Consider the following 21,499-nt stretch of genomic DNA (forward strand, 5'->3'; position numbering starts at 1 on the left):
ACTCATACGCTTTTCAGGAGCGTCAAGACACTGTGATACATTTCTCCTGCTCTCCACAAAACTGCTCAAGGGATGAGGGACTCCCATCAGCCAAGGCAAATATACCATTGCTGTCTAAAGTAGCCAGATCACACACACAGAGAGGTCCTGGAAATGCCATTGAGAATAGGACCTTCCTTCACCCAGCCCATTTGGCAGTCCATGGCAGGGAAGCAGCAGAATTGCAGCCTCCGCAGGACTTTTAGGAGCCTGATCCACAGACTAGAGAAATGTACCTCTCCAGGAAAAAAACAGTATAGTCCTCTCATCTCCTGAGACTCCCATCCCAGCCACCTGGCTGGGAATAAACAACTCCTGTGACAAGCAACTCATTGCCTCTCTGAGACCTGGGTGTGCCACTGAGATCCATGACATCCTTCTCCAGGCAGAGCTGACGTGTGTCTCTCTGTAAGTCCCTCCCACTCACTTCATACCTTGGACCCCTAGATGGATCCCTGTGGCAAGAAAAGACCCACTGGTGACTTGCAGAAGTGGGATGTGCTGTGAGCCTCCCCTGCCAAATGCTGCACTTGCTTGCATGAGTTGGAAGTCCCCATCAATCTCTTCATCCACGCCCATTCTTCCACTCCAGTGTTCCTATTTCTTTCTGAAAGTGTGAGCTCCAGAAAACAGTGCAGGCTGGGCAAGGGGCTCACACCTGTAATCCCAGCACTTTAGGAGGCCAAAGCAGCAGGATCAGTTGAGGCCAGGAGTTCAAGACCAGCCTGGGCAACACGATGGGACCCCATCTCTAAATAAATGATTAGCTGGGCATAGCGGCACATTCCTGTAATCCAAGCTACTTAGGAGGCTGAGTCAGGAGGATCACCCCCTCAGGAGTTTGGGGCTGTAGTAAACCATGATCATGCCACTGCTCTCCAGCCTGGGCAACAAAGCAAGATCCTATCTCTATAAAAATAAATAAGCCAGGCATGGTGGCTCACGTCTGTAATCCCAGCACTTTGGGAGGCCCAGGAGGGCGGATCACCTGAGGTCAGAAGTTCGAGACCAGCCCGACCAACATGGTGAAACCCCAACTCTACTAAAAATACAAAATTAGCCGGGCGTGGTGGCACATGCCTGTAGTCCCAGCTACTCGGGAGGCTAAGGCAGGAGAATCACTTGAACCCAGGAGGTGGAGGTTGCAGTGAGCCGAGATCGCACCATTGCATTCCACCCTGGGCAACAAGAGTGAAACTCGTTTCAAAAATAAAATAAAATAAAAAGAAAGAAACAAACAAACAAACACACACACACACACACACACACACACACACAGCACAACCTCTGCCCCACGTCTCTCTGAGCAGCGTGATGGAGGATGCAAGACCAAGTCCCCCTCAGTCACCAAACAATTCAGTGCCTGCTCCATGCCAGGCTCACTATACCCTCCTAACAGTCTTTCTAGCATGGTGGGACTCTGCTGTTTCTGATGGACAAAATATATCAGCCCCATCTTCTCTGGTTTGAAACCCTGGAACTCATGGCCCCTCATAAGTGACTGTGAGACCAGGCTCTGTGTGTCAAGCTGAACTCTCATAGCTGATGGAATGAGCACAGGAGTGAAGCCCCAGGAGGAGGAGGAGGTGAGTAGCTGCAGGCCAGGGCTCAGGCAGCCCGTGGGCTAATGTGTGCCCTCCTGCTGATCTGCTGCATGGCTTTACCAGGCTTAGAAAAAAGCATCCAAGGTTCCTTCAGTGATCCAGATAGTAGAAACACCAGGTCTCAAATGCCTCAGTGCAGCTGCATGTCGCCAGAAGCAGTACTGGGAGGCTCGGTGGATAGGACTCAACATTAGCTGGAAACACAGGCAAGTCAGACTGAGAATCCAGACTGAGTCAGAAGTCCCTGTGTCCTTGCCATGGGTGTATCAGTTATCAGTGGCTGTGTAACAAATTAGCCCAAAACTTAGCACTCAAAATGTGAGCATTTCTTATGTCATAGTCTTTGTGGGTCAGGAATCTGGGAGTGACTTCACTGGATGGTTCTGGCACAGGCTATAGTTCGGATGTCAGCCAAGGCTACTGTCACCTGAAGGCATGACTGGGGTTGGAAGATCTGCTTCTGAGATGTCCCCATGGTCACACAGCCTACAAGTCAATGCTGACTGTTGGGGACCATTAGCCCTCGCTGCATGGGCCTGTTTGTATGGTTTCTTCAATGTCCTCATGAGGTGGCGCTAGCATCCCCCAGAGTAAGTGTTCCAAGAGAACAAGGAGGGAAGCACCGTTTCTTCTTCTTATTATTATTTTTTTCTTTTTTTGAGATGGAGTTTCGCTCTTTTGCCCAGGCTGGAGTGAAGTGGCATGATCTTGCCTCACTGCAACCTCTGTCATCCAGGTTCAAGCAATTCTCCTGCCTCACCCTCCCGAGTAGCCGGACTTATAGGCACTCACCACCACGCCTGGCTAATTTTCATAGTTTTAGTAGAGACAGGGTTTCACCATGTTGGCCAGGCTGGTCTCAAACTGCTAACCTCAAGTGTTCCACACGCCTCGGCCTCCCAAAGTGCTGGAATAAGGTGTGAGTCACCTCACCCAGCCAGAAGCACCACTTCTTCTATAACCCAGCCTCAGAGGTCATAGTCGGTCATCTCTAGAATATCCTATTGGTCACACAGTCAGCCCTATTCAGCGTGGGAAGAGACTACACAAGAGCATGGGTGTCAGCAGGCAAGACTATCTGAGTTCATCTCAGAGGTTGCCTGCCACAATGGCGAGTTCTATCAGGAGGACGTCCCTGAGCTACAGCTGACGTTTGTGTCACCAAAAACCATGGGGCGTCTACACATCTGCACTTCCATATCTCTATGGGTTTGTTTTTTTAACTGCACCATTATCACGTGTGTGTCAAGGGACACATCGGCCTGTTCAGCAGAGGGGCGGAGACTTCTGACTCATTCAGGAATAATGGGGCCAATGCTCGATTCTGCAATAGAGCAAGTAACACCACAAAGAGGGGATAAAAGGCACATCCAGCCCGTCCTCACCTGCATCCTCAGCGGAGGGCCTGTTGAGGTGCTTGTGCTTAATACAGAGATGGTGGCCAATTGTCAGAGGGGAAGGACAATTTAGGGTGCAATGCTGGTTACTTTTACACATATTGTCTTCAACACAATCCCTGGATCTCTGTCAAGGCACAGGGAGCATTGAAAGAAATAGCAAGAGGCTGGGCGGGGTGGCTCACGCCTGTAATCCCAACACTTTGGGAGGCCGAGGTGGGTGGATCACCTGAGGTCAGGAGTTCGAGACCAGCCTGGCCAACATGGTGAAACCCTGTCTCTACTAAAAATACAAAAATTAGCAGGGTGTGGTGGCAGACGCCTGTAGTCCCAGCTACTTGGGAGGCTGAGACAGGAGAATTGCTTGAACCCAGTAGGCTGATGTTCTAGTGAGCCAAGATCGCTCCACTGCACTCCAGCCTGGGTGACAGAGTGAGACTCCGTCTTACAAAAAAAAAAAAAAAAAAAATAGCATGAGTGAAATTTGGAATTGTAACCCTGAAGGAAGAATAAGAATTGAGTGGGGAAAGACATTGTATTTGGTAGCGGGTTGTGAGCTATTATACTTGGGGCACAGCTGTCATACTTGCCCCCTTCCTTCATCAGATGGGGTTGGAGGCTGGACGAGATGAGGTCAGCAACACGAAGACAGGAAGAGAGACCTCAGTGTGGCGGTGGCTAATCTCGAGGTCACATCAAAGTCAGCCTACACCAGCAAGACAGGAGCCCAAAGGCAGAGTAGAGAGTCAGGCAGCATGGCAGTGAGTTCCTGAGTCACGGCCACCATGGAAAACCATATGCCACCAGGGAGAATCTCTGCATGTTCCCAGGACCCATTCCTGCCAGGGAGAGAGAGGGCTTGGCTCCCAGAAGTTATGTAGGTAGAACTTCGAGCCAGAGCCTGCTATTTTTGGGATCCACTGCCCTCGGCTGAACATAAACAACTGGAAGAGCCGAGGAAGCACCAGGCATCATGGCCCTGTGTGCAAGTCAGACCTGGAAGCGGCAGCAGAAAGTCAATAGGAGCCACTTCACTTTCCCCATCTGCAATAGCAGAAAAGGTTAAAACCAGCCAGGTTTCCATGCAAGAGATGCCAGTGTCCCCACAACCAGCAAGGTGGGCTATGTAGATTTTGCTAAACAGCTCAAAGAGTTACACAAAATTCTCCACACTAGTCAAGTTAAAATTTTAATTTTAGCCTGTTGTCCCAGCTACTCAGGAGGCTGAGGCAGGAGAATGGCATGAACCTGGGAGGTGGAGCTTGCAGTAAGCCGAGATCGCACCACCGCACTCCAGCCTGGGCGACAGAGCGAGACTCCGTCTAAAAAAAAAAAAAAAAAAATTTAATTTTAATCCACTCGGATTTTAAAATAGCATATCACGATGGAAAAAGCCTTGAACTTGGAGTGTAAGGGGCCTGGGTTGAAGTTCCATTCTAGCTGTGTGAATCGGTCACATTTCTGGACTTCAAATGTCTTGACTGTATAAACAAGATAATAATAACTAGCTTATGTGGGAATATACCTGTCAGTCATCTGCAATCCAAAAAGTTTTTAATAATCATTAGCTATTTTGATTGCACTGGGCTTTTAGGAGCATGGGAGGCCCACAACCCACACATGATGGGGCTGCAATGCCCCACGATTGGGATCTCTGGTCTAATATGAAGGGACTCAGAGGTCACCTAGCTTTGGTGAAGGGGCTCATGAGCTAAGGGCAGCACAAAAATTGCCCAAGTACGACCTAGCCTCAGTGCCCCTTCACAGATGGGGAATCTGGGGCCAGGTTGTTCAAACTTTTCCAGCCTGCATCTCTTTATCACTGCATTCCTGGTTCGGGCTCCAGAAGGCAGCTTAGTGAGTTGAAGAACTGGACTTCTTAACTGCCAGAAGTGCTGGTATTTTCCCCATTCAAGAAGACACTATCTGGTCAGAGGCAGTGGCTCATGCCTGTAATCCCAATACTTTGGGAGGCCGAGGCAGGCAGATCACCTGAGGTCAAGAGTTTGAGCCCGGCCTGGTCAACATGGTGAAACCTCGTCTCTACTAAAAATACAAAAATTAGCCAGGCATGGTGGTGAGCACCTGTAATCCCAGCTACTTGGGAGGCTGAAGCAGGAGAACCACTTGAACCCAGGAGGCAGAGTTTGCAAAAGAAGAAGAAGAGGAAGAGGAAGAAGAAGAGGAAGAAGACACTGAGTCTCTGCTAAATGCAATGAGGAAAGGAAAGGAAAGGAAAGGAGGAAAGGAAAGGAAGAAAGAGAGAGAAAGAGACAGAAGGAAGGCAGACAAGGAAGGAAGGAAGGAAAGGAAGGAAGGAAAGAAAGAAAAGAAAGAAAGAAAAGAAAAGGATAAAAAGAAGACACCATCTTCCCACTTCTGGCACTTTGTGGAAATTCTTAAAACTAAGTTCCACCACTGATTCATCCAGCACCCACCTCAGACTTGCCTTCCAGCTGGTATTCACATCTCCATGGTCCACCCAGGCTGCCTCTGCACAGGCTACCCAGGGCTGATCCCAGCGGCTCCTACCTGCGTGGCCCCTCTTGGCCTCTGCAGCATCTAACAACTTTCCTCCCCTGAGTCATGCCCACAGACACCTGTTCCTGCTTCCTCCAGGCACTGCTCTCTTCCAGCCTTCTCTTTGCCTTCTTCGCGATCTCCTCTTCCTTTGTCAGTTTTAGCCCCTGCCAGTGTTCCCTGTATCTGTCCTCAATTTTCTATGCTTCCCCCTCACTCTACTCACTCTCAAAGACAGAGAAACCCTGCTTATCTCTGCAGATGATGGCCAAGTCTCCATCCCAACCCTGACCCAGTTCCCGAGGGCCAGACCCTGGCTCCTGGCTACAGTATCCCGTGCAACATGCCTAAAACCAATGAATCCATCCTCCTCCCTCCAAACCAGCTCCTCTGGTGGCTTTCTAGTGCCAGCGACGACACTATCTTCTGTGAGTCACCTCACTCCACACCTCAAAGTCACCCTAGACTCCTCCTGCTCCCTCAGCCCCACATCCAATTAGCCGCGAGGTCCTGCAGGGTTCCCTTCATAATGGCTCTCATATATATTTATTTCTTTTCATTCCTGCTGTCAGCAAAGATCCTCCAAAAATACTACTTTCTCATTGTCTTTCTCGCTTGTGAACCGCGCAGAAGTGCTCTGGGTGGTGGGATGTCATTCAAGATGCCTTTTAAACTCACGGGCCTGGCATTCCTATGCCTCTGCCATCCACCCCAACCCTCCGTTCCACACGCACCTCCCACTGCTCCTCCCTCAACCCCTCACCCTAGCCTGACCATCTGTTCAAAAGTGCCTTTGAATGTGTTTGGCAAATTACTGCTTATGCTGGTCCTTTCCCTAGAGAGCTAATAATAGCAGCCCTTAGCAGCCCTTCCAGGTTTTACACACACCAAATTAGTCCTCACAACAACCCTAGGAAGCGCATACTATGATTACCCAGCTCTGTAGATGAGGAAACTGAGGCACAGAGAGGTTAAGTATGTTGTCTAAGGCCACACAGCCAGGGAGTGACGAAGTCAACATTTCACCCTAAGTTATCTGACTCCAGGGTGACTGGACCAAGAGGCCCAAAAATCCAGCTTGTTTGTGCAGAAGGGTACTTCTTACAGCTCAATATTTTAGCATGACCAAAATTGGCGCTGTGTTATGGAAATTTTGTAGTGTAATTCCTGGAGGAAAGAAACTTTTCCCATTGACCTTCAGGCCTAGGAGAGAATGATGACACATTAAGTCATCCTGCCATTAAAATTAAGTCCAATCACCCCTAATGGAATGTCACCTCCAAAATAGCCATTAAAGCCACCGGCCTAACAAACTGGCAGGTCCCGCGTATATCACCATTACCTTGTTCCTCTAACAACCATTCTGTCCGAGGCTGGGAAGGTCCCAGGAGACACTAAGTGTTGCTCAGATCTGCCCTGTGGATGTCACCCAGAGGAGAGAAGCCTGCTACTTTGGCGATGTTTGTATTGCAGTGTGGTTTGGAGACTTGGATGACAGGTGAGGTCCATGTACGTAGGTGCTGCACGCTTTGACTTCCACATGGCCAGGGCTGAGTTCTCACTGTCCTCAAGGTGAACCCAGGCTCTGTGATGGAATGGACTATGCCTGGTTGCTGAGCAGGGTATTAGACTCCAGCCTTCTGAGCTGCATGATAGTGTTGCCATTCTCCAAAGGCAGTAGCCCCCTCCCCAAGCTGTGGTCATCCAGCAAAGCATCCCGGGGGGTCCAGCTCCCTCCTAAGTCTCCCGGCCCTCAGTGAGTGTTCACTCTGCTTCCACTCAATTCTGCTAACATTTTTGGCACCAGGAGCCTTCACATGCACTCTGTCATTTGCAACTCACATAATAAAAGAAGACTGTTATTTTTATCTCCACCTTACAGATGAGACAAGCAAGGTTTAGGGAGCTAAGGAATCAAGTAGAAATGCGTGGGATGCAGGCACAGGGCTGGGCTGCAGCCCTTCCCCACCACATCATGCTTTTTCTTGAGTACCTTCCCAGGCATTGCTTCTTTCATGTCTGTACTTCACCCTGGAAAGCAGAATTATTCCCAATTAATAGACGGGAACACTGAGACTCCACCAGGCTAAAGGAAATTGCCCTAAGTGCACATCTAGCAAATGGCAGAGCTGGATGCGGGCCTGGCCTTGCCCCTGAGTGCCGTGCCCTCTGCCTGCCTCAGCCGGGGCCCCATGCTCACCCACTGGAGCTGGAAACCCCAGCTGCCCCAGCATCAGCCTCCTCTGCTGTGGCCCGAAGGACCCATCCTGCTTCTCCCCAGCCCTGCTGACCTTTCCAAGCCATGGCCTCCACTTCTTCCTGGGCCCAGGGGCCTGTGCATCCCCCCGTGGGCACCATGCCTCCCACTGCCCGCCAGTGCCCACGTGCTGTCCTCCCCCCACACGAGACCAGCCAAGACAAAAGGTAACCTTGATGTCAAGCAAAAATCTCTATAATAGCAGTTCACATTCACAGGGTGCTTAGTGGTGCCAAGCACTGTTTCCGGCATTCTGTGGGGATTGAATCCTCAAATCCTCACAGTAATCCTATGGGAAAGGTGCCGTCATCACCCCATTTGCAACCAGGAAAACCACAGCAAAAGGCCAAGTCACAAAGACTGGGAAGGGTTGGGGGAAGGGGAGGCTAGGGAGAGATTGTTAAAGAATACAAAACCACAGCTAGAGAGGAGGAGTAAGTTCCAGTGTTCTATCCCACTGCAGGATGACTGTAGGCCACAGTAATATGTTCTATAGTCTCCAGTAGCTAAAACGATGAATCAAATATTCCCAATACAAAGAAATGGTAACTGTTTGAGATGACAGATATGCTTATTACCCTAATCTGATCACTGTGCATTATATGAGTCAAAACATCACTCTGTACTCCATGAATATGTACAATGATTATAGGTCACTTAAATAATAAAATTTTAAAATGTAACTTGCCACAGTAAGTCACGACTGAAGCCCGGATTCAAACCCAGACAGTCTGGCCTGAGAGCTCGGTCTTAGGCACCACCTCTCGTGTGAAATATTATCGTGGTGCAGAGGGAAGAACAGGCTTTGGGGTCAGAATTCTAGTGTTGCTCCTTATTCTGTGACACTGAGAAGACCGAACCTCTCAGAAGATCGGTTCCCTCACATGTAAAATCTGGGCTAATTATGGATCTATTTGGTAGGACCCATGAGAATTAAACAGAAGAGTGGGTAGAAGTGTCTAAAACCGTCTGACATGCAGCAGGTACTGGGCATTCTTAATTTCCTCATTTGCTCTAATTAAGAAAGTCTTCAAAGAGAAGTTCCTGATGCTATGGTGGTCACTTTAGTGTCAAATGCTTCAGTGTCAAGGGGTTTTATTTATTTATTTATTTATTTATTTATTTATTTATTTATTGAGACAGGGTCTCATTCTGTCACCCAGGCTGGAGTGCAGTGGCACGATGTCAGCTCACTGCAACCTCTGTCTCCCAGGTTCAGGTGATTCTCTTGCCTCAGCCTCCTGAGTAGCTGGGATTACAGGCGTGCACCACCACACCTGGCGAATTTTTTTTGTATTTTTAGTAGAGACAGGTTGTCACCATGTTGACCAGGCTGGTCTTGAACTCCTGACCTCAGGTGATCCACCTGCCTCGGCCTCCCAAAGTGCTGGGATTACAGGCATAAGCCACCACCGTGCCTGGCCCAGTGTCAAAGGGTTTTAACAGAGCCCATGGAATTGCTCTAGAAGGAACACTTCTAATCTTTTTTCTTTTTAAACATTTTTTTCGAACATGCAGAAGAGAAGAAAAATCTTGTTCTTCAAGATTGTGGCTGAATTTAACTATATTTACTAATAACTAAATACATATAACTATATATATGTAATAAGTAATAACAATATATATAAAATAAGCTATAATGGTTTTTATATGATATATAAACTACCAAATAAGCCTATTTGGTCAATAGTGTGGTATTTCCACCTTGTCAGTAAGCCAATATCAAACAACATATATTTGCATCAGGAGAGAAACTCTCCTGTTCTCTGAGACGGGATTTGTTGTCCTTGGTCCCCAGCACCCAGGTGACCGTGCAATGCCGTGAAGGGGCCCCAGGTGTTTCTGCCCATCTGGGCCTAAACTGCTGAATGCAGCAACCCCATCTACCCTGAACCCTCCAGGCTGGCCCAGCCCCTTCCGTGGCTGACACAAATGAGGGTTTTACGGTTACTTAATGGAGGGTGGATGTTACACAGCATGGCATAAGGTCAGGGTGCTGAACTTCTGCCCAGAGAGTCTATAGCCTTCATTCTAATTCTTCTTCCTCCCCTTGGACAAGTCGTTTAACCTCCCTGAGGCCTATTTTTTTATAAAAATCATTTGTGAGGTGTGAATTACATTATATGTGTTTCTGAAAGCACAGGGTAAATGCAGTCTCCCTTCCCACGTGCTATTCCTTCTCCTTGGAATATATCTGCAATGTTCTTTCCTCTTCCGCTTCCCCTCCTTCTAGCAAACTTCTATGCATACCTTTAAGACTCAACTTAGAAGCTGCCTCCTCCAGGAAGCCCTCCTATACCCCAGCAGTCTGAAATGGGTCTCTCTCATAGCATTCAGGCTTGCTCTCTTATGCCACTTTGGTCTGTCTCTGTCATTAGACAGTGAACTTCTTGCTAGCAAGGTGGGTCTTGGCCGTTCTTGTTTTGTTGTTTTTTTTTTTTTTTTTTTCAGATGGAGTCTTGCACTGTCATCCAGGCTAGAGTGCAGTGGTGAGATCTCGCCTCACTGCAACCTGCGCCTCCTGGGTTCAAGCGATTCTCCTGCCTCAGCCTCCCGAGTAGCTGGGATTACAGGCACCCACCACCATGCCTAGCTAATTTTTTTTGTATTTTTAGTAAAGACGGGTTTTCACCATGTTGGCCAGGCTGGTCTCGAACTCCTGACCTTGTGATTCGCCCACCTCGGCCTCCCAAAATGCTGGGATTAGCGGCGTGAGCCACCACGCCTGGGTCTTGGCAATTTTTAAACCCCCAGAATCTAGGGCCTGGCACAAGATAGATTCTCAAAAAGAGCTTGCTGAACAAATGAATCATAAAGCTGAATTCCATAATCCAAGCCACATTTTCTCATTTACTCACAATATGGCACACAGATTATGCCTCTAGAAATAAACAAGGTCAGAGGTTGTGAGATGAGAGGTGGGTCAGAAAGCAGGGCAGGGTCAGGAGCTTCCACCGCCCTGACACCTCAGGCCCCGGCTCCAGCAACCCCACAGAATGACACAGCAACCACAGAAGGGGATGGCAGCCTCCTGCCCCTTGCCAAGCTGTAAAAAGTAATGGCAAGAAACCATGTCCTAATTTCCCTCCTCAGATCATGCCAGCTTGTGGAATTTAACCACGAGAATATTGATAAGTCCCGGAAAAAGGTTGGAGGACAAAGTCGATGTCTGTCATCAGCCAGGTTCCGCATGCCTGAATTGCAGAGTCATGGTGGATCTTAAGGGTCATCTAGTCTACCCTCTGCTCTGTGTACAAACCTCTCCGAGCCAGCGGTCACTCCCAGTCATGGGGTGTTTCAAAATCTCCAGACTTGAAGTTGTAAGTGGAGTGGCAAAGACAAAATTCACTCCATGATCCCTCCAATGCAGGGACGTTTTCGAGACTCAGTGGAGCACTTCGGATACACCACGCATTGCCTTGGGAACCACAAAGAACACAGAGATGAGACGTCATGCCTGCCTCCAAGGCTCAAGCTTCAGATGTGGCAGAAAGGCCGTTTCCACAGTGGGCATAATTGAGGGCACCTAGAGTCAGGGCCGCAAGCTGGACATACGTGGTGGATGGAGACAGAAGCCATGTGGGGACATTCGGCAGAGCAATGGACCCCCTTCCTTCAGAAATTCAACCAAATCCGATGGTAGACTTGATTCCAAAAATTAATTTTCAGAAGGGAAATTTCAATATGGACTGGGTATTGAATGATAGATAGCAAGGAAGTGTTGGCAATTTTTAGGCCAGACGACCATAACATCATTACGTATAAAAATGCCCCTCTATTTTAGAGATGCAAAATCTAGTACATAGATATAAAGTGGCGTGAAACATTAAAGCAACTCAGAAAGAAATAAGTAGAGGCAGGGATCCATGAAGCAACTGTGGTAAGATCTTGATAGCCATGGATTCTGGGCGACATATGGTTCAGGTGCATCGTGCACTCTCTCTCCTTTGGGAATGTTTGAAATGTTCATAATTTAGAAAAGCTGAGAATGAAAGGAAGGTGGCCCAGGAAGGAAGAAGCACTTTCAGCTGGGCCTTAGATCGCGAGCAGGAGCTCACAGATGGAAACAGACAGGAACGTTATTTGCAGGGGGGCCCAGCTCATCAGAGGCCCCGGGTGGGAGGGGTTGGCTATGGCTCAGGAGTTCAGGTTGCCCCTGTGTGGGTCAGAGTTCCAAACATGGGGCCCATGGCTCCTGAGGGCCACCTGTATTGACCTGTTTCTCCAGGATGTGGTAAGTGCTGTGGATCAACAAGCAAGGCAAAGTACTCCACAGATGCCAGTTCCTGCAGGCAGGCCGCGGGGAGGCTGCCAGACAATTTTCCAGAACAACCTGTTCGTTCTTACTGCGCCGGCCCTGGCCTCGAGGACCGTGCGTACTCACTTCATCACTTGCATAACTGGTGGATCCAGGCTCCCGAGATCAGCGCCCCTCCTGAGCTCCATCGTTTCCCTGTGCGGGGGTCTACAGTCTTCTTGGGAATATACTTCCTGTTGCCCCTACTCTGGATTTCCCCATCTCCAGAGGGAGCAGATCAGAGGAGGCGACACGGGAGGGGTGGATGAGGTCACCTGCCCAGGGGGGCATCCGCCTGCCACACCCCCTGGCCCGTCCTGCCCTCAGTCTGGACCCTTCCTCCCCTGGCACTGTCTCTGGAAGGAAGTGGGCTTCCACAGGGCCTAATCTGCTGCTGCTGCTGCCCTCTCACACGGACCTCCACCACCGCCCACCTCCCCAGAGGCCACCACAGGCCTCTGCTGGGGCACGCTGGGGTTTCAGGGCCTGCCATAATGTCCTACCATCTCATCTCTGGGCCCGATTTGCCCCGGGCTTATCCAGTTTCTCTAAGATCATGGAAAAAATGAGCCCTGGTCATATCTGCAGAGCAGCCTTGGCGTTGACCTCTTGTGGCAATTGCCTTTGACAGCCTGAGAGTCATTCAGAAATTGCCTATGGTTCACTCGGGGGAGGTGGGTGGTTCCTCTCTTGCAAGCTTATCTTCACTTTGCAGCCCTGGTAAGTAACTGCTGAGCGTTGCACAATCAGGGAGAAAATATTTACAATGAAAGTTGATCCAGAAAGACTTAGACAAGGGTCAGTGTACCTTCAGTTTAGCCTGACCTCTTCCAGATGAAGTGACTTTGGACAAGGGTTGTAATCTCTCCATGCCTTAGGGAGAGACAGAGACATATGGTACAAAAAGCAGGAGCTTCAGAGTCAGAGAAATGAATTCGAATCCTTCCTCCCCATTCACTAACCTGGGAGTTTGGGCAACAGGGATCATCTCAGATTATATTTCCTATCTCAGAGTATTTTGCAGATTAAATGAGATAAACTCGAGATGGTCTGCAAGGTATAGGCACATGCCACCACCTCCTCCTCCCACATCAATACAAAGTTCCTCATCTTTTTTTTTTTTTTTTCTTTGAGGTGGAGTCTCACTCTGTCACCCAGGCTGGAGTGCAGTGGTATGACCCCAGCTCACTGCAGCCTCTGCCTCCCAGGTTCAAGCGATTCTCCTCTCTCAACCTCCCAAGTAGCTGGGGTTACAGGCGCCACCATGCCCCGTATGGTGGGATTACAGGCCGCCACCATGCCCAGCTAATTTTGTATTTTTAGTAGAGACGGGGTTTTCCCATGTTGACCAGGCTGGTCTTGAACTCCTGACCTCAGGTGATCCACCCGCCTCAGCCTCCCAAAGTGCTGGGATTACAGGCGTAAGCCACCGTGCCTGGCCCCTCATCTTTTTGATAAGGGAGTTGGAGGGGATGACCAGCAAGGCCACTTTCGGCTCGGACCCAATGCAGTCCCAAGAAATCACAGGAGCAGTAAGTTATTCTCCTTCCTGTGTCCAGCCCCAGGCTCCAGTCTCAGCCGGTATTCTAAAACCATCAGGACTCCAAGAGGTCCAGGCAAAGTCTGAGCCCCACATCCACTCAGCCCCCAGTACCGCTGCTCTATCCTCCGCGGGCTTCTCCGTTCCATGGCCCAGTGGGGCTCTTCCTTCCTAATTTTCTGCACTTTCTTGAGGGTTGCCGGTTAGGTAGGAATGAATTCTAAGACACTCAGACCTCAGCCACTATTCTGGTGGGTGGCACAATGGATAGAATCTTCCTTGAGCCAGACACTGGAAATGAATTCACTCCTTGAAGGCTGATGGCTTTGGACACATCTGCTCCTCAACGTCCTTGCCTCTCAAATGATAGCGTGGCCCAGCCACCCTTGGATGGTTAGGTGGGATTTTCTGCTGGAATTGTGCATCTTGGGAAAATGTTTTGAAAAGCCTGAAACTCTGGAAAGATGGGAGTAGGATGGAGACTCCAGTTTGAGTCTCTAAGCCAGGTCTGCAGGATGGGCCCCTCCAACTGAGTAAGTGCCTGCTGTCCTTTTCCCGGCACCCCCACTGGCCAACTCCTCCTCAGCCAGAGATGTTGGGGCTATTTCCATCTGTGCGCTAAACCCTCGTGGATGGGCGTGGCCACCTTTCCATAGGAAACCACCCAGTGGTAAGTCCTCTATCACCCTCTCGTGACCTCTAGGTAGGTGGCCATATGTCCCCTTTACCCAGTTTATTCCGGTGAATAGTGCCTCCTTTCATTCTCAAACAAGTGTCCCAGCTGGCACAAGAAAACACGGGGTCACTGCACCTCTAGGCCAAGTGACACCTCTACAGACACCGCCTCTGGGCAAGCTGGGTCACCTCTGCACGGAGTCGTTTCAGGGTGGGTCAGCCCCTTTGGACATCATGTAACGTGGTCATTATCCTCTACATCACTGTTACAAAAGAGAATGTAACTTCAAGGTAACAGAAGAAAGATCAGAGGGCACCGGCCTTCCTCCATGAGGACGCAGCTCCATTTGCAGCCCTGGCTGACCACCTTCTTTGGTCCGCTTCTCTTCTGTTTCGTTCTTTAGCCTAAGGCTTACCTCTGCCAACGTCAGCATGAGGAGGCGCCACGGCCCCCTGCACCCAGAGCTGCCCTGGCAGTGGCTCCCAAGGCCACGGAGCAGCCCCCGGCTGAGGAGAGGCATATGACAGCCAAGGACATTCTGCACCCAACAGACCGAAGCTCCTTATCCCAGGCTGATTGTTCTCGGCTATGATGGCACCATGGCAAGGGAAACTTGAACGAAGGCTTGGGATGACACAGATAGGTGAGCTGCTGATGTTTTCACATTTCTTTTTCCTCCTCAGCCAGCAGTTGCATGGTTTTTCTTATGGATTGGAGAGGGAACACTGCCTGCCAGAACACTGCATGTGTGCAAATGTTTATAATAATGCTACTCCCATGACGGTGTGTCTTAGAGGCACGTCAAGGACAGGAGCCCTTTTTCCATTTTACGGATGAGGAAACTAAAGAAGGAAAGAAATTCTGCTCCTCAGCCGGGCGCGGTGGCTCACGCCTGTAATCCCAGCACTTTGGGAGGCCGAGGCAGGCGGATCACTTGAGGTCAGGAGTTCAAGACCAGCCTGGCCTACGTAGTGAAAGCCCATCTCTACTAAAAATACAAAAATTAGCCAGGTATGGTGGCAGCTTCCTGTAATCCCAGCTACTCGGGAGACTGAGGCAGGAGAATCACTTGAACCTGGGAGGCAGAGGTTGCAGTGAGCTGAGATCGCACCACTGCACTCCAGCCTACGTGACACAGCGAGATTCTGTCTCAAAAAAAAAAAAAAGGAATTCTGCTCCTTAACTTGACCTAATGAATTAGGCTTCCTTCTAGAAATAATTAAGGCTTAGATCAAATTGTATCCGAAACAGAAAGTGAAATAGGGCATGTTCTCACTCAGAAGTGGGAGCTAAATGCTGAGTAGTGAGGGTCATGTAGAGTGGATAATGAGACTTCAAAAAGTGGAAGGAGGGGCAGTGAGGGCTGAGAAAACTCCTGCTGGGTACAATGTTCACTCTTCAGGTGCAGGCACACCAAACACCCAGACTCCCAGACTTCCCAATATGTTCATGTAACCAAACTGCACCTGTACCCCCTAAATCTATAAAAATACACAATTTTTAAAATATTCTTCACAGACACGCACACTCACACACTCACACAAACTCTCCACTCCTCCGAGGCCCTTGCCTGGCTTCCCTCCTCTGGTTTCACTCATGATGCTTTCCTATCTCCCGGCTATAAATACACCACACTCAAACATGTCTCTTGGTTTCACTCCATTGGCCAAAGAAGTGGTTATCCAGAAGCAGCCAGTGAGGGGAGAGGCAACACATTTGCTCAGTCCAGGACAAAGGTGGCCCACAAAAACAAAATGTTTTCTTGCCTTTTGATGCATCTGACAGAGTGCTATTGAGGGAGGCCTGGGCCTGTCCCATACTCTCCGGGCCTACAAATACTTTCAGTATCCACCAGCACTGGGGGCTGATCACACAAGAATACAAAAGCTTCTCAGCCTGATGCGGTGGCTCATGCCTATAATCTCAGCACTTTGGGAGGCCAAGGCAGATGGATCACTTAAGGTCACCAGTTCAAGACCAGCCTGGCCAACATGGTAAAACCTCGTCTCCACTGAAAATACAAAAAAATCATCCAGGCATGGTGGCACATGCCTGTACTCCCAGCTACTTGGGAGCCTGAGGAAGGAGAATCGCTTGAACCTTGGAGGTGGAGGTTGCAGTGAGCCGAGATCGGGCTACTGCACTCCAGCCTGGGAGACAGAGCGAGACTCTGTCTCAAAAAAAAAAAAAAAAAAAAATCTCATTTTAGATCCTGCCTAAGCCACAGACTGACATGAGGCCCCCTCATTGCCAACCACTAGTTCAGCTGTGGGAAAGCCACCTCCAGGTCTTTTGTGAGAGAATCAAGGTCAGACCCCAGAGAAGCCATCTCTTCTAACTACCATGGTCTTCCTGACTCCCATTCAGAGTCAATCCTTCCTCTATTTCTCACAGACTTTTATTATTGTTATTGTCTTTAATGAAGATGTACCTAGAGTCATATATCATGATATTATTGTTTCAAATATTATTAGTAGTAGTATTTATTGGGTGCTAGTTTGTATTGAGTGCCTTTCATTCATCATCACACGTGATCTTCTTAACAAACCTAGAGTGTAGGTAACATTAATACTATACTATTATCACCATCACACCGATGAGGAAACTGTGACTCAGAAGGTTAAGTAATGTGCCCAAAGTCACACAGCTACTAAATGACAGAGCCACATTTTAAACTCAGGGTTGACAGACTCCACCAAAGATCATCTATTCCAACGCTTCCCATATGGAACACTATGCCAAGAGATGCATAGTTGCTATCTGACCTAAAATGGGTGGATAGGGAAGTTCTGGATTAAATAAGTTTAAGAAATACTACATACCCAGTGGTCCCCAGACTTGTTGGTTTCAGGAACCCTTTGCACCCTTAAAAATTATCAAGAGTAGGCCAGATGTAGTGACTCCTGCCTGTAGTCCCAGCACCCTGGGAGGTCAAGGCGGGAGGACTGCTTGAGTCCAGGAGTTTGAGACCAGCCTGGGCAACTTAGCGAGACCCCATCTCTACAGAAAAATGTATAAATTAGCCGGGTGTGGTGTTATGCACCTATAGTCCCAGCTACTCAGGAGGCTGAGGCAGGAGGATCATTTGAGTCTAGGAAGTCAAGACTGCAGTGAGCCATGATTATGCCACTGCACTTCAGCCTGGGCAGCAGAGCAAGACCATGTCTCAAAAAAAAAAATCAAAATCTTCAAAGAGCTTTTGTTTATGTGGGTTATGCCTATCAATATTTACTATCATCAAAATTAAACTGGAAATTTTTTAAAATATGCAATCGTTCACTTAAAAATAATAATAAATTTACTCCCTGCTAACACCATATTTTTGTGAAAAATGACTCTATTTCCCAAAACAAAAATACCAGTGAAAAGAGTGGCACTGTCCCACGTTTTGGTCCAACTCCTCAGTGTTCCGCTTAAGAGCTGGATTTTCACTTCTGCTTCTGAATTCAACCTGTTGCACTATCATGTAGGCTCTAGAAAATTCCAGTGTATGCTTGTGACAAAGTAAGGGTAAAATGATGCCTTAGTCTTGTTCTGAAAGTAGTGTCGACTTAACTGACCCTCCTGAAAGGGTCTCAAGGACCCTTGAAACTTCTGGCCCACACACTGAAAACCACCACTGTACTTTGAATTCTTTTTTTTTTTTTTTTTTTTTGAGACGGAGTCTCGCTCTGTCACCCAGGCTGGAGTGCAGTGGTGCGATCTCAGCTCACTGACACCTCCGCCTCCCAGGTTCAAGCAATTCTCCTGCCTCAGCCTCCTGAGTAGCTGGGATTACAGGCGTACACCACCATGCCTGGCTAATTTTTGTATTTTTAGTAGGGACAGGGCTACCAGGCATTCTTTTAGAAACTCACAGCGCATATCAGCCAGGCGCAGACTCTGAGAAGTCCTGCATGAAGGGATCATCTATAAGGTCTAATTGAATGTTTCCCAGAGTTATTGAGTGGAACATGCTTGTTAATTGACATACCCTATGACATCATGTGGAACGGCTTTCCAGTGCTAACCGTATGAAAATCTCACTAATCTGCCAGCCTCCCACCCTCAGGCAGGGTAACCCTAGAGCCACTCAGGAAACACATTTTGCATTTCACTACACTAAATCTTGCCTTGTCAAGCCGTCAACCCTCAGCGTTTCTTCCAGGGAAGCCGCGCAGCTCAGTGGAAAGACCACAGACTCAAGGCTTGAAATCTGCATCCACCACTTAACTAATTGTGTGACAACAGGAAAGACACTGAAATGCCCTTAGTCCTTCTCATCTGTAAAATGAGAGTAACACCTAATAGTGAAAGTTCCATAATCACTTTTTGTATCATCAGTCTAGACAGAGACCTGATCTCTACTATGTAACCAAACCACACACTTCATGCATTTCAAATCACGGGGTCTCTCTTGGCTCCTGTTGTTCTTGATCATGTTTTGTCACAATTTTGTTCATTTGCTTCATGTTGTTCTTCTGTCTGAGATGCACTCCCCATCTTTCTGCCTGGAAAACTTCTATGCATCCTTCAAAACCCTGATCAAAGTCCAACTCCTTTAGGAAGCCTTTTCTGACACCCCTGTCGCATTTCTTAGCCTTCAGCCCTCAGCACAGACCTCCTCAAACCTCAGAGGCAGTGCCTTCCTCGTGGTCACTTCACTGTCTGTCCCAAGTCTCTCTCTCCCCACCTCAGGCCCTGAGCTCCTCAAAGTCACTCTGCCTCCTTCTGCTCCATGCATACACAAGGTAAACCTCGAACAGCACTCATTCAGTAGAGGTTATCATTTCCTGTGAGACTAAGCCCACCAAGAAATCCTTTAGCCTTTCCTTGAGCACTAGTTGTTCTGCATCCTCCCTCCCCATCCGCAGGTGCAGGCAGGTCTTGATCTGACAGAGGTTCAGAGGCTGACCGTGCAGCCCCTCTCAGCTCTGCCCATCTGAACGCTGTCCTCAGGCCTGTCTGGCCTACATTCTCAAACTAGGAACAGAGGTGCATGGCAGGCAGGGGTCTGATGAGATGACAGCCAGGGGACATCAATCACCAGGGCCTAGCAGCGGTGGCACCCTGGGTGCTCTTCCTCAGGAACCGCTGCAGGAACTCTCAGTTCTGCCCAACATCATTTACCAAGGGCCTGTCTGGGACAACCGCCACCAATGGGTGCCTGTCCCACGCACATCTCACCACTAGCAAAACCCAGGGCTGAGGGCTGTGCAAGGGTCAGATTATCTAGAGGACTTACTGCTGCCCTTCAGAGCAGCCATGAGGCTGGACTTACCAATTCTCTTGTAGAGAAGGCTTTGTGGTCCTGGCTCTCTCCATGGGCTTTGCACAGTTGTTCCTACTAAGTTTTTTCCACAGCAGGCTGTGGACATCACAGGGAGGCAGCCATGTTTTTTGGGAGCTCAAGGGTCATTGTGCCTGGGGTCTAAGTGCTGAGCAGAACAGTGAGGAAAGACAGAACATACAGGAGGGCACCAGAGGTGCTTAGATCATGTGGGGAAGAACATCCGGAGGTTAAAATAACTTTTCTTACTCCCTATGTCATCTTTGTGGGTTCTAATGCAACTTCAGGATCTGTTTGCCTTTAAATTCCTTACTGGACAAAGTCAAGTGGACAGGAGTAATTTGGAATTCTTATGTTCTTTCTGACCAGGTACATATGATTGATTATTAAGTATTTCAGAGAGAGTGCAAAGGATCATCCTCAAGGGTTGCCCCAGTTAAATGTGAACAGAATCAAAAGTCATAGCTTCCACCCCATACAATGTTAAGGCATCACTCTGTCATTCATTCCTCCATCCAGTATTTACTGAGCACCTAGTATGTGCTCTGTACTAGGTTCTGAGAGCACAGTGGTGAGGAGGACCCACATGCCTCCTATCCTTCATAGGAGGAGAAAGGCACAAACCAGAAAACCCCCCCAACACACACACACATACACATATATTAACAAGGGAATGAGTGCTTTAAAGTTCAGGAATTATAAACACAAAGAAATGTGGTTATAGACATGGTTCATGGAAGGCTGGAGGGCTGTGGACTTTTCTCCAGAGGAGTAATATTTCAGCTGCATCAAGCAAGATGTGACAGTGGCAGGTGAAGGGGACCCGGAGCAGGTGGGAGGAGAAGCCCTCCTGGCAGAGGGGTCAGGTGTGAAGGCCCCGAGAAAGGGTGGCAAGGGCTTGGCACATGGAGGGATTGAAGAAAGGTGAGGTAGCAGGAGCGTGGCATGCAAACGCCAGCGGCACAAACTGCGCTGGGGAGGAGAGCAAGGGCTGAAGGTGCAGAGCCTTGGACACCATCCTAAGGAGTGTGATTTTTTTTTTTTTTTGGTCCCTCAGTGCAATAGGAAGCCCTAGATGGGGCTCAGCAGAAAGTGACACATTCTGAGTTATATTTTAGGAAGTCACTTGGGCAGGAGGTGCAAGGGTAGAATCAGAGAGACCCATCAGGAGGGCACAGGTGCTGGTGGCCTGAATGAAGGGACTGGCAGAGAAACTGCTGTGATCTGGAGAATGCTGGATATGTGGCTCCAGGGCCCCAGAGGGAAGACCTCATACTCACCTCCACTTGGCACATGCAGAGGAGAGGGGAGCCTCTGGTGCCATACTCAGAAAGGCAGATGCTGGCAAAAGAAATCAAAGAAGAATGCCTCTCTGGACGCATGGACCTCTGAGTCCTGCCATACCTGGGCTTTGTCCAAGACTGAGGGAGCAAGCTGGACTGGGCAGGAGCAGGAGCAGGACAAGTCAGGGCCTTCCCCTCCTTCCATACAGCCAGCCATGGTCCTGAGGCAACCAGGGACCAGCACTTACACAGACCCTGCCTGGAGGTTCTGGTTTCCCCAGCCCAAGAAGCCAAGGTCATTCATGCCTTTGCTGACCTGTGGCCTCCCCATGGCCCTGTCCTAGTGCCCCAAGGCACTAGCCTCCAGCTTCCCAGGCCACATGTCCCAGGCTCCTTCATGCCCCACTGCAGTCTGTACCTGGCCCCCAGGGGCACCCATGCCTGCAGAGACTGCCCAAGTGGTGGATTATCAGCCTGGCTCTTCCCTCCTGCACCCTCAGCCCTGCAACAGAGGAGAGCTCTTCCCTAACCCTTGGCTGCAGGTTGGTTGTATAATTTGCAGTGGGCACAGGTATGTGGTTAGAGGGCCAGTGTGTCTGCTGCAAGCATAGGCCTGA

The 21,499-nt window shown here is 49.1% G+C and overlaps 1 long non-coding RNA gene across 2 annotated transcripts in view, besides 4 other annotated features; it reads right to left on the minus strand.

Annotated features, from left to right (window-relative positions):
- The window catches only part of LOC107985365 (uncharacterized), a 63,991-nt gene extending 50,864 nt beyond the window's left edge, over window positions 1-13,127 (minus strand). The window contains exons 1-2 of one of the 2 annotated variants that reach the window (XR_001738533.2): window positions 11,077-13,127; window positions 6,903-7,591 (exon numbers count right to left, since the gene is read on the minus strand). This is a non-coding gene — a long non-coding RNA (uncharacterized LOC107985365). The remainder of the gene's footprint in view (window positions 1-6,902; window positions 7,592-11,076) is intronic. The other variant, XR_001738534.2, reaches the window with a different exon arrangement.
- Window positions 12,749-12,893: an enhancer, noted in NCBI's record as "145 bp enhancer 94/95 fragment used in the MPRA reporter construct; PK_construct_3202". NCBI's record gives its function as "activates an SV40 promoter by MPRA in K562 cells {active_cell/tissue: K562}" and the evidence as "EXISTENCE:reporter gene assay evidence [ECO:0000049][PMID:23512712]".
- Window positions 12,812-12,829: a transcriptional cis regulatory region, noted in NCBI's record as "GATA motif; enhancer activity is reduced when this motif is scrambled". NCBI's record gives its function as "necessary for full MPRA enhancer 94/95 activity {active_cell/tissue: K562}" and the evidence as "EXISTENCE:site-directed mutagenesis evidence [ECO:0005528][PMID:23512712]".
- Window positions 18,379-18,515: a silencer, noted in NCBI's record as "fragment chr1:235017825-235017961 (GRCh37/hg19 assembly coordinates)". NCBI's record gives its function as "represses an EF-1alpha promoter that drives an FKBP-Casp9 reporter gene in an ReSE screen in HepG2 liver carcinoma cells {active_cell/tissue: HepG2}" and the evidence as "EXISTENCE:reporter gene assay evidence [ECO:0000049][PMID:32094911]".
- Window positions 18,899-18,968: an enhancer, noted in NCBI's record as "active region_2772". NCBI's record gives its function as "activates an Ori minimal core promoter by ATAC-STARR-seq in GM12878 lymphoblastoid cells {active_cell/tissue: GM12878}" and the evidence as "EXISTENCE:reporter gene assay evidence [ECO:0000049][PMID:35858748]".

This window comes from Homo sapiens, chromosome 1, assembly GCF_000001405.40.
Source record: "Homo sapiens chromosome 1, GRCh38.p14 Primary Assembly".
Classification (NCBI taxonomy): domain Eukaryota; kingdom Metazoa; phylum Chordata; class Mammalia; order Primates; family Hominidae; genus Homo; species Homo sapiens.